The sequence below is a fragment of the Homo sapiens genome, chromosome 1, assembly GCF_000001405.40.
Source record: "Homo sapiens chromosome 1, GRCh38.p14 Primary Assembly".
Lineage (NCBI taxonomy): Eukaryota > Metazoa > Chordata > Mammalia > Primates > Hominidae > Homo > Homo sapiens.
This window is the reverse complement of record NC_000001.11, coordinates 175,386,508-175,399,840: the sequence shown is the minus strand read 5'-3', so window position 1 is coordinate 175,399,840 and position 13,333 is coordinate 175,386,508. Positions and strand designations below refer to the sequence as shown.

The window sequence follows — 13,333 nt, the reverse complement described above, 5'->3', positions numbered from 1 at the left end:
GCAAAATCTAAAGAGGAAACAGCATGGCATCTTTGCAGATAAGCAACCCTGATTCCTCAAGCCACAGTTTATTCCTCTTTAACAGCATGCTCTTCCTCAAGTTTCAAAGTTGACACCCCAAAGAAAGTAAGGCTAAGAATACTTTGCACCCACCGTGAATTCATTGAATTAAGGCATGAGGCTCTTTGATTGTTTGCAGTACAGTTCAATATAATTTTCTTTTATAAGGATTACTGATGCCTAGTGTACATAGTTGCTGCTAATTTAGAGTGAAAGTGGTGGTGGTCTCCTCCATTGAGCCACCATTGTCAAGACCACTTCCACGAGGAATGACGCCAGTTGCTGCTTTCTCATTCAGAAGTGTAGGCAACTTTACCACCAGGCTCAGGCCTCAAGCTAAGTTGCCAAGATTTTTTTAAAAATCCTTCTGCACCTCTTTTTTTTGCTTTAAAATCCCAAAATGCTCTTCTTAGATCACCCTCTATTGTTAATATTAGCTTTGAAGAAGGAAGCAAAAAGGAATACGCTGATTTGTTCCAAATGCCCTAAGAATTGCTGGTGACTTGAAATTTGGAGTGGCCATTTCTGCCACTATGACAGAAGTCCTGCATAGGAAACCTGGAGTTAATGTGTTGAATCACAGGAGACAGGCACTAGAGAACCTGTTTAAAAAGAATTTTCTTACCTGTAGGATGAGCACCAGTCTAGAGATCACACCTATTAAGATCGTCTGAATTATTCCTAATATAGTTTACTTTGGGACACCATGTATAAATGAAAGGAGGCATCTCGCGCAATCTGTAACCTGCTGTCTAAATTGTAGGGGAAAGAATGAAAACTGTAGAACATCAGGGTTTGACAGTCAGTTCTGCTATGACCCACTCTGACTTTTGGCACATCCCTTAACCTGGGATTCAGTTTCCTCATTGGTAAAGCTGGGATAATTATCTCTACATGAACTACCTCATATGACTGCTACTAAATATTTTTTTAAATTCTTGTTAGATGGTATATATGAAAATAGTTTATAGACTGTGAAATGCTATATAAATGTAAAGTGGTATTGTATATTGGCTAAGAAGGTTTATAGTCATTCTGCCTGCATTCTAATCCTAGCTTCTATGTTTGCTGACTGTGTGGCCCAATTTCGTCATCTATAAAATGGTAGTAATAATGATACCTTAATCCCATGGTGTTGGTGAGAGGGTGAATTGAAATAATCTATGTAAAAGTGGTTAGCATTGTACTTGGTACATAATAAGTGCTCAGTATAATCATGCAAAATCCTGACAGGTTCTAAATATCAACTCTTCTTCTCATGGCCTAGGAGTCATTCTGTATGTGTTATATAGGTTGTCCCAAAGGTTTTAGTGAAATTCAAAGCTTTAATAAGGTCAAAACTATAGGTGATACAGTTTATAAAACATCATTTGAAAGCTTATTTAAATTTCGTTTACACTTCTTGAGTTTTATAAATTTTAAACAAAAATTTTTTTTAATTTTTGTTTTGGTCAACATTTGCCATCCTCAAGAAGCTCTGCTTTCTAGACTGTTTTATTCAATGAATGGTTTTAGGCAAAAGTAATTGAAGCAAATGTCCAGCAGTGCATATATATGCTGCTGATTCTATCCTGTGAGTCTTGGATCTGTTAAAGGTCTCCTTGTGTCTCTGTCTTTGCTGAGGATTTGAGGGTGCACATGTGAGTACAATGAGGAGACAGCACTCTCCACTCACAAGGTCCAGCAAAACACAGCTGGCCTCAGCCTACCTGGTTGTAAAGGGGAGGGGTGAGATTACCCAGGGGAGAAATTCAAAACCTATGACAACTCTTAAACTCATCGAAGCCTCCACTACATATAAATTTATAAGTTAATAATGACCATTTAAATATCGGCTTGATCTTTGATTTAATCTATGGGCAGGTCTAATTACAGACACACTGGAGTTAGCCTCTTAGTTAGTCTTAAAGGCTTGATTATTTAATGGCCACAACACTGGTGAATCTTCATTTTCCAAGACGATACACAAAAGTCTATTTCTCTGTGTTTTACCCTTTGGTGACTCCAAGTAGCATTTGAGAAATCAGAAGAAAGTAAAGCAAGGTCCTCAAGAATGTTTTTTTATCATCATCATCTCCAAGATTGAGGCTAATAAAAATTAGTTTAACACAAGCTAGATTTCTTTCAGAACATAAGTGGTCTTTAAAAGGGAAAATTCTACAATAATGGGCTGTTGAGTGTCTTCATCAGGCCGTGGTATCCAGGACTTACTGTTTTGGCTTCTCATAATTTGCAAGATAATCAGGAATGAGTCTTTATTTCCACTTGCCAAATCAGATATTGGCTCCCAGGGTAATCTGATGACGATAACTTATTAAACCACCAAAAATGTTGGCCAGTGGTGTGCTGTTAAATACCTAACAACCTGGCTCCCTAAAGGAAAAAAATTTAAAAGCCCCGTTGTGTAGCATTTGCCAGTTTCCATGATGTAAATACTCTCTCCATGGCCAATTTCAATTACCAACATGACGTCAGTAAACATGGAGCTGGAAACAGATGTGTAGTAGAGTACAATCATAGAATATTTTCACCAGACAGAGCACACATAAATTATCTTAAAGGTACACATAATAGTAAAATGTAGTCAAATAATTTGAGAGTGATAAATTTTGAATATCTATTACCTTTATTTTTAATATAATTTACTTAAGTATTAGGTTATAAAATTGAATCTTTAATAATGGCTGTATTCAACGACAGTCTTGAAACAGTCCTGAAAATTTGACAATCAGCATTTACAAGCCAGTAGGAGCTGGCTCCAGTGCATGTTCATGACCTTATAGAGATTGGGGTACTAAGCACCAAAAAGACAAGAGCCTGCTCACAAAGGAAGTTACAAATCACTTAAAGCCATTGAGCCCAGCAGGACATATAGACATGGCATGGGGGGTGAGATGTGAGGAAGAAAGTTGAGTCCAGGATGGGGAAGGCAATCCTCTGAGCTCATGCTATCTGTGTATTGCCTCCCGGTAGTTGCCCCTCCAGAGGACTTGCGAGTGGCTGGTATCAGCGACAGGTCCATTGAGCTGGAATGGGACGGGCCGATGGCAGTGACGGAATATGTGATCTCTTACCAGCCGACGGCCCTGGGGGGCCTCCAGCTCCAGCAGCGGGTGCCTGGAGATTGGAGTGGTGTCACCATCACGGAGCTGGAGCCAGGTCTCACCTACAACATCAGCGTCTACGCTGTCATTAGCAACATCCTCAGCCTTCCCATCACTGCCAAGGTGGCCACCCGTACGTACCATTTCCCCGTCCTGCTTCATTTTTCTTTTCTCCTACATGAGATCATGGGCATTCATGATAGTAGCGTCTTTTCTTAGTTCTTCAGGGATGCCTGGAATAGTTATTGCCCTTGAGGGGAAGGGCTAGAGATGTGACCCATTTAGAAAGGGTACATCATTAAAAAGGCACTTTCGATTAAGAGAGTTTCCAAATTCAGGCAGCTTTCATAAATTATAGAACCAAAAGGACAAAAAGTACTTTAATTATGGAGTACTGGCTTGTTATAAGCTAGACTCTGACTAGAAGTCAAGGAAAGTGTAAGACATCTACAGACTTTGAATCAGTTAGGGATCCAAAACAAGGAGATATGAACTAGGACCTCTAAGAAGCAAGTGCTAAATGGTGTGTTCTCGACCATAAGTGTATAGCAAAGTGAGAAAAAAATCTTATTTAAAACCACAGCTGACAACATCCCCTTCTCCTGATAGAGAGGTGGCATAATTTCCTCCTGGTCTTTTGTTTAGTGAAATATCTTAATAGTTCATTTTAGTTATAAAAGTTGAAGCCCTAGAGCATAATTTAGAAGGATTCACAGGGAAGAAAGAGAGAGATGGAGACAGAAAGCAATCTAAACTGCTCTCCATAAGAAATGAACAGTTTTTTTTATACATAAAGGGAAACTTCTGTGGGTGTGTACCTATATTTTGTGTATGTTCAAGCATAGAAAAATATAAAAGATTACATAACAATTATTAACACTGACTACATCACAGAGTAGAATAAGAAGGAGATAGGAAATAATTATTATATTTTTCTTTATACCCCTCTGAATTCTTAAATTGATACAATAAGCCTGTTTTAGTTTAGAATTTCAAAAGCCAGGCAGAATAATTTAGGCAAGAGAAGTTCTCATCACCCCAAGTCTACTGCAAAACCTGCATGCACACAAATGCCTCTGTGCCTTATGTGGAAAGTCTTTGGAGAGATCATGAAAAAGGGGCTGTATCTGATTAAAATCTGGGAAGAGAGAAGAGAACATTCAAAGGAGATGAGGTATGAGTGATACAGAGATTTTTAGCAATACCAAGAAAGTGGAACAAGAAGTAACCATGAAAACATAAGCCCTCTAGAATTCAGAAAGCCCCCGGGCCAGTAAATAGGACTTACCACCAGATAAGGGGTAAGAGATCTGAGCCCATTTTGTGTAGGTAGATGGTATTCAGGTAACAAATGCCACGAAAGTTCAGAAAAGGAAAAGGTCAAGGTAGAAAGATTTAGCCTTGAAATCTTCATGGAAGCTCCAGGACTGAATTGACCTTTGAAGGATGCAAGGATAGAGACAGGCAGAGGGGAAGGAATTTAAGAAGTCATCTTGTCCCCTTGCTTTTCAGGTGACAGAAATTCTGCTATAATTTTGGACTCCGCTATGAGAAGAGTGCTGACTCTGTTAATATGCCTATAATTATCTCTGTTTATATTTGACCTTTTTTTAAAAAAAAAATCCTCTGGTGCCTGAGAACTGGTTTTAAATATCTGCAATGATTGTGCAGAGAGGCAGGTCACCATCTGCCGCTTTTCCCACCTTGCTCCGGGATGAGTCACCACCCTAAGTGCCTGGCCTAACTCCCAAGCGTCTCCTCTCTGATCCACATGCATGCACAGTGATGAGGTTTCCATCTCCTGTGGCATTTATTATGCCAATTCAGGGCATTCCCTCAGGCAAGCTCCCAGGTGACAAGGACAAAATCATGTAAACCACCTGACACAACTTCAAGTGGGCTTGCAGTCAGCCCTGCCTTCCAACCAAGAAGCATGAGAACTCTTCCAAACAGGAAGGATGAGAAAATCTGTCCTTTTTCCAATGGGAATAGCCCATGAGAGGCAAAGCTAAAATGGGAGCAGGCTTCCTGGAGAACTGAGAAAAGTCATGCTGTCATATTTCAGGGCTGATAATTGAAACTCCATTAGGACAAGCACACTTCCATCTCACAAAACCTGTGCATGTGTATGTGACTGTGTGGTTGGGGGAGAAGGGGTGGTGGGAGGAAAAGAGGGAGATACATGAAATGAAAAATTCAGACCATCCTAGACTTAGTGATTTGAGCTAAACAAAATACTCTCAATGTGCATCAGATGATCAAGGAAATCACTCTAGTATTAATTCTGAAACTGGTTTGCTCCACAACTTTAGCCAGCTTTCTCTGTGCCTCTCTTTTCCTGTGTGCAAAATGAGAACACTGATAGAAGCCATCATAGTACCTCCCGGGAGTCCTGTAAAGCTTCTAAAGATACTGCTCAAGTCCTCTGAAAAAGGCACTGTACTATATATGATATGCCAAGATCTACCACATTAGTAAGAAAAGAAAAATGATGTCTGCATTTTAATAGTAACCTATTAATGCAATAAAAAGCATTAAAAATTGTTTATATAGATTGTGTTTAAGTTAACTCATGTATTCCATCAACATCGAGCACTAGAGCCACATGGGGTGGGTTGATTCTGCACCTGGGACTCACTGTGTCTGGAGCAAGATTGGGATTGTCCACCAGACACCACCACGCCCATGGCGTGGAGGGAGTTCACCAAGACAAAGCACCAGGCAATGCTGTCTGTCCCAAGGGTTAGCCATGACATTGTCACCTACATTGCTGTGTTCCAGATCTCTCCACTCCTCAAGGGCTACAATTTAAGACGATCACAGAGACCACCGTGGAGGTGCAGTGGGAGCCCTTCTCATTTTCCTTCGATGGGTGGGAAATCAGCTTCATTCCAAAGGTAACACTCACCTGTTACACTGCCAAACAGACTTATTTGGAATATTTGTACCTTTAGCTTGGAATCAGGGGCAGCAAGGAAAGTGCTACCCAATATCTCTCTCCATGCCATTAAAGACACAAAATGGCATGTTGTGGGTGTCTGGGATATAGAACATTTCTGTGACAAATATGTGGTAACGACCTGCTGACAAGAGTAGCCCTGAGCATGGCACCCTGGCCTTGCAGAACAGAGGATGTGGGAAGCAGCCACCAGCTCCAGCTCTCTGCTGAGATAACTCTGGGGTCTGATGAGCCATAGTTTTGGTGAGCATGAAAACCAGACCCTGAAAAAATTGAGGCTTCTCTTTAGGACATAAGAAAAGCCAGGCTGAATCCATCACATAATCAGCCAAAAGCTTCATTCTGTGCAGACAGATGCACCACAGAAAAGTCAGCTTGCATGGCATCAATCCCTAAAGGTTACAGACATAAAACAAAACACCTTGGCTCTCCTGGATTATTCATAATACATTTGTATCCTATTAATTTAGCAACTTTTTTATTAGTCTATGACTTTTAAAGTATCCTAAGATTCCTTTCTACTCTCTAAAGCAGTATTTTATTTATTTTCTTAATTCTAAAACTAACTTTTCCGAATTGCCACAGGTGTATGCCTGGCTCTAAATTTCCAGAATTTGTTGACCCTACCAATGTCCTCCCTAACTGTACCACTCATGAGGATATAAAGTTCAATTATACTCCTTCCCTCTGTCTTTATTCTTCAACATCAAAGAACATTTTTTAGCCATTCATCAGACTTAATGACAAATGACACATTTTTGGCTAACAAGACCATGATTTCACCATTCTTTTACTTCAAAATTCTTAGAGCTGTGAACTGTTGGAGTTACAAAAGACCTTCAAGTTCACAGGTACGACCCCTCATTTTACATCTAGTTTAGTTTAATTTATAGACACTACGATTCAGAAAACTTGAAGGACATCATACAGCTAGTTGGTGACAGGCTTAAAACGAGTACCTGGGTCCCCACCACCTATCCCGGGGCTCTGTTCACTAAATCTGTATGCCCCATTTTCTTATTTACAGTCATATTATAGTCACATCACAGCAAGGTAAATAAATCTAAACAGACATCTATACAAATGTGTCCTATTTGAGTTAAAATGATAAATAAAATGTGGCAATTGAGTTACATAACAATTGAAACGATCATGTCAATTGGAATGGAACATTGCTACCAATGTTTTTCAGGAAGAAAAATTACGCCAGGTTCTCCTGTTACCTATACCCAATATGTAAAACTCTAATTAAAAGAGAGGCTGACCAGGGAATGCCAAGGTCAAATGCATGGCCACATGGTTTAATAACTGTTGTGATCTGTAGGTTGAGGCCACTGGGGAGCATTCATCACACTGATTTATAAGAGTATGACTGTAAATTACATATAAGGCACCCTGGGTACCATAAATAGAGGCCAAAGAATAGGGGAGAATGGCAGTGCCCTCCAAAAGAGGCCCTCTTGTCTCCTCCATTTCTAAGGACACTCATAGAAAGTATATGGAGGGAAAGAGAGAGAGGGAACGATAAGATAGAAAGATAGATAATAAATCCTAGATTCAATTTCGTCAAGTTACTCTTTCTCATTCCCTCTCCCTCTTGTCTCCTTCTTCTCTTCTTTGTATTATCTTTTTCCAAGCTTCCTTTTTCCTTTCTTTGTACTTCATATGTGGTTGTGTCACTGAGTCCTAATTCATCTGGGTGAAGGGGAAACAAGACATCGACAGATTCACACCGAATGTAGCACCATGAGAAACTCCAGATATAGCAAAATATTAGCTCTGGCTCATAAACAATTATCTCATAGCAATGTCTTAGTTTGAAATGTGTTGTGTGTGTATATAAAGATGTTTACACACAAACACACATGACTATCCTCTCCTAAATAGCCGGGGGCATGTTCATTACGATAAATGCCAAAAACCTCTGATGAATGTTAACCGCAACCATCAAACATTTGATCTTTGGCAAGAGCCAATCTGCACCACCTCATCACTAATTTTTATTGGCAAACTCAGCAAACTCAGGAGTGGCCAAAGAAATGTTCTTAAAAATTGATCCTCCATTTGCCAAATCCTCATAGGGTGGTGTCATTCTTATGGAGTCTATGGGGAGTTATTTCTGGCCCCAGATACTCAGCTGTCAGCATGGAGGAAAGAGACATCGCCCCCATTTTAAATTCACAATCCACAATTAGTATTCCACACCTTTATCTTTCTCTCATCAGATTTCTCTCCCAGTGACTTTTCTCTTTTGCTCTCTGCTTCTCCCCACTGTCCAGAACAATGAAGGGGGAGTGATTGCTCAGGTCCCCAGCGATGTTACGTCCTTTAACCAGACAGGACTAAAGCCTGGGGAGGAATACATTGTCAATGTGGTGGCTCTGAAAGAACAGGCCCGCAGCCCCCCTACCTCGGCCAGCGTCTCCACAGGTGAGTGCCTCCAACCCTTCTCCCTAGAGCTGCCTACTAGGTCACTTGGAAAAGAACCACAGAATTGCCCAAGGAGTGGAGAGACAACAGAGGTGCTAGAATTTCTCCTAGAGCTGGGACAATTCTGGTACCTGGCAATGGAGCTACTCTACCAGATGCTTAGCTCATCATCTTCCCTATTACTCATCCTTACAAATACTGTCATCTGGGAGAGTGTTTCATGGAGACAATTCTTTTTTAATATTTCCATTGTATTTATGCTGATCTTACTCATGAAGAACACTCATTTGTCAGCCTCTGGTGTCAATGATCTTTGGAAGCAGCAAGAGCTGACTCATTCTTACCTATGATGATATTTGGAGAAAGTCATCTGAACCTTCCCAAACTTCAATTTATTTTACAAGATAAGCAAGAATAATTTATGATAAACAAGAATACCTTCTTCATTAAGTTAATATGAGGATGGGATTAGATAAAGCACACAAAGCAATCAGCTCTGTGCTGATGAGAGTGAGTGCTCAATACTTGGTATACGCACATATACTCAGAACATACTCAGAAGTGAAAGTGGTAGGAAACAAGTCATTCAAAAATAAGTAGGTATGGGTTGGGTCACTGTTCAAGGTGATGGCTTAAGTCTATTATTATTTCATCCCACAGATCACCTCATTCAAGATTATTATATTTCCAGGATTGATTCATTAATTGTCATATTTTGCCTTATTGTATCCTCAGCTAACAAAGAGTGTTCAACTTCAATGCTGTAAATTAGCTATTGTGATGTATAAATGTGTGTGTGTCCTCACCAAGAATGTCTCGAAAGTTATAAATAGCATCTGGCATAAGTTTTGGTTCTCATTTTATTGTTGATGGAGCTGAAACTCAGAGGCTAAGCAACTTTCTCTGTCAGTAACAGAAATTGAGATAGGTGACTATTGGTACAGCTTTATGTGTTTTTCATAAACAGAAATTGATGTACCAGAAAGCCAGTTTTAAGTCCAGGACAAAAGGCTGAGTTGACCAGAGATGAGAACCACAACACAATGTAATGAGACCACATTTATAGATTAGTGATTCATGCTCTGCTACTGAATCCAAACCAAACAGCATCAGGTGCCAAGGCTTAAGCTCAGTTTAGAAAACGTTGGTTCAGAACTATTGTGGCAGTAGCTTGTGTTCCATTAGTGCACCAAGGTTCTATGGCAGTGCCTTGAGGCTAGAATCCAGTGGAAAGCCAGACCTCTAATTACTCCCTCTTTCATGCCTCCAACCAGGACAGCTCCACTTTGATCTGTTTTATATTTTGTACATCCATTTAAGATTTTTGTCCTTTAAAAAATAAGTTTACCACCCAAAAAGCTTTCAAACCATGGTTCTGCTCTAAATAGTATGTTTTAGAAGAAACCCCATAACCATAAAAGCTACAGTGCTCTGTAGGAATCCCTCCAGAAGGCCGGTGGCTGAGGTTTTCCACAGCTCCAAGGTTATGCTGTAACCTGAAGAGTTGACATTCGATAACTTGGGGGCAGAAAGGTGTGATGCCCTTGCTCACCCATCATATAAGCATCACAACAACACTGCTATCACAAAAGACAGGTTAACAAGAGAAAGCGTAACAAATTTATTTAATCAAAGTTTCACATGACAAAGGAGCCTTCAGAAATGAAGACCCAAAGACCTGGGGGAAATTGTCTGTTTTTACGCTTAGGTTTGAGGAATAATGGACAGCCATGTAGAAACGTAATTGGACAAATGGCTATGATCTAATGGTAATAGTCTAAGGGGGAGACCCAGCAAGGCCTGTCTGCCCAGATTCTTCTTGGCCTCTCTGTGAAGCATTTCTTCTCCACCTCCTCTGTGGGACAAGACCTCACTGGAATGAGGGTCCTCAAGGGAGAAGGGAGGAGGGAAAAAGTTACCTTTCTAGGTTTTATGGCTTGCTTTGAGGAAAAGGAGTTCTAGTTTCTATTACCTGCCCTGAGGAAGAGGAATTCTGATTTCTGTGAATCACTTCAAAGGGAGAAGAAGGGTCAGGAGATGGGAGGACTGCAGATGGTCAGAAAGACCTTGCTTGCTTCCGGGGCTGTTTCTGAGGCTCTTTCATTCCTCTTTAATTCAAAGTACTCAGCACACCAAGGTGCCAAATTTTGGAGTGTCTGTGATGAGCCCAACAATAGCAGGTGCAGCTTCTCCTCTTCTGATATGAAATGTTACAAGGTGCCCAAGTTATTCCTGTGATTTGATATTAAGAAAGTATTAGTAAAAGACAAAAGGCTAAAAGGAGAAGATGGTTCATAAGAGGATAGAAAACATTGCAGTTGAAGAATATTTTTCTCCTAGAATATTGACAGAACATGGAGAAGGTAGTCCAACTTTGTCTTATAGTCAAACCACATTCTTATAACATTTGCAGTATTTTTTGGTTTGGCAGTTCCTTAAGTTTAAAATTAAAATTCCAGATCTAGAAATTTGTGGTAAAGCTAGGCAGAATTATTTTCATTTAAGAAAAAATGTCCTTAATATTTTGGCATCATCTACAGAGTCATGAAGAAATGGAAAGACATTTATTCCAGTTTACTTTTTGAGCAGGGATTGTGTTTGTTTAGAAATTAGGACCAAAGCTGAAAGCAAGTTGATACCTCCTTGATTGGAATGGAACATTGCTACCAAGTGGCCAACAAAGGGCAGAATCCAAGAGTGGCTACAAAATAGACGGTTGGCTCCCAATCCTGTGTGCTGTTTTTAGGAAACGATTGTTTAATTATTTCCTTCTGCTAAGGTCTGACCTACACCAACCCCCTACTGCGAAGCTCTGTGTCCTCATCAGGCACTCAGGCTGCCTTCTTCTAGGCAGGCCATTTTGTGAATGCAAATTACAAGACCTCCCACAGCTAAAACCCTCTGCGCTACATAATCACATTTTAATATGTTCAATCCATTATGATTCGGGTTTTCTGGATTTAAAGAGTTGAAGGACAAAAGCTTTTTGTGGTCAGTTGCATTTCCCTGACACTTTTTTTTTTTTCCAAAAAGCTCCAGTTTATTGAAATGCTTCCCCTTCTTTCTCATGGATAAAGAAGATTTTCCATTCATTTCATTTACTCGACACACATTTACTGAGTGTCTACTATGCTTCAGATATCATGCTTACACAGCAACTAGGAGGCCACTTCCCCCATTTCATAATTAATTTAAATTAAATGTGAAAGGCCTAAGTTATCTAAAACCACCAAGTGCAGCATGCTGAAAAGAAACTGGATATATTCTGTTAAATCACATTACTACCTCAAATATGAAAACCAGGACTTCATTTTAAGTCCAAACCAGGTGGCACCCAAGTGGTCTGGTGATTTTCATTTTAGCTGGTGCTGGACCAAAAGCCCTAAGCAGCTTAAGAGAGGACAGGACTAGGCTAAGACCCGGAAAGAGGGAGGGGTACCCAGGGAAAGGCTCAACCTTGAAAAACTGAAAGCCTCAAGGTCAGCCTAAGACGGCCCTGAGGGAGAAACTTCATTCTGGAGACAGAGTAGGAGGTGGGCCAGAGTGGACTGGTTAGAAACAAGTCTTAGCCAAGGCTCTCCAGTAACAAGGAAGAGAGACTTACTTAAACTAGCTGAAGCAAAAGAGAGAATTTACTGGAAGGACATAGAGTGCCTCATGGGAATCCCAGGACCAGAAATGCATCTGGGCCTCACAAAAGACTTGCACCAGAAAATGGAACATCAGGAATCAAGTTATTCCATATATCTTTCTAGAAGCTCTGCATGGCCACTGGTTTCTCTCTCCCTCTTTCCTTTTCTCCCTCTTTCCCCTTTTCTCCAGATCAAATGTTTTCTATATCAGTATCAGAATGGTAGAAAATGGCCACACCAGCCCTGGCTCTGCACGGTCCAACACAGGCTAATTAGAGAACCAGAGTTCTGGTTTTAGTTCCAAATCCTTAAAGAATATTAACATTAATAATCAGCTCCAGCCAGAAGGGTGTAGCCCCAATAATAAATGAAAACATGGAGGCAAGAGCATGTTGGCCATGCAGACATCCCATGAGAAGTTGAGAAGACCATTTCCTATTCTCCTCACTTGGCTGTTTCTTTTTCTTTCTTCTTCTACATTCCCTCACCTCCCCATTATCTAATTCAGTATGAACAGAACCTCAAGTGGGTGCTGGAGCCACAGCTGGTGGGCCCTGCAGGAAATCAACCAGCTTTCCAGGTGTTGCCCTGACCTGCACAGTGCCAGGGGCCAGGGCTTATGAGGGAAATACACTAGAGAACCTGGAAGAGGTGACTGCAATGTCCTTCTGCTGTAGAAATATGCAAGAACAGATGGAGAAAAATGACCCGTAAGAGGCTGTTCCGAAGCTGGGGTCCTTTTTATCCTTTTATCCAGAGAAGCAAGTTTACCCAGAAGGCATGTTTCATGTCCTCATATGCAAATGTCTGTTGGTTTTTAAATGGTCTTAGCAACTGTGTTGACTGTGCTGTTAGAGTGGCTGAGCAGGGACATCTTTTGAATACTCATGATGACCTCTTTGGCAACCAATCTGGAAGTCTTGGATGTTTAGGTGGGCTGGTCATTTCCTAGGTCTTTCCTCAGGGCTCAAAGAGGTGAGAGCTGAGTGGCAGACACACGCCAGAAACCCAGTTCTCAATTCCCTGTCCCATGACCTCCAGAAAGAAACAGGGCTGACTCTTTCAAGCCAGCAAGTGCCCTTCCCCTGCCCAGACTGGGAAGTGCCATCACCTGGAAACTACAGCCTGGTAAAAGAGCAGTTAGACCA

At 40.8% G+C, this 13,333-nt stretch overlaps 1 protein-coding gene across 2 annotated transcripts in view; it reads left to right on the top strand.

Moving 5' to 3' along the window:
- TNR (tenascin R) overlaps positions 1 to 13,333 on the top strand; it is a 428,402-nt gene that overhangs the window by 343,755 nt on the left and 71,314 nt on the right. The window contains exons 5-7 of one of the 2 annotated variants that reach the window (NM_001328635.2): positions 3,138 to 3,297; positions 5,946 to 6,061; positions 8,403 to 8,553. In NM_001328635.2, the coding sequence (NP_001315564.1) occupies positions 3,138 to 3,297; positions 5,946 to 6,061; positions 8,403 to 8,553 (427 nt within the window). Of the gene's footprint in view, positions 1 to 3,033; positions 3,298 to 5,945; positions 6,062 to 8,402; positions 8,554 to 13,333 lie in introns of both variants that reach the window. The other variant, NM_003285.3, reaches the window with a different exon arrangement.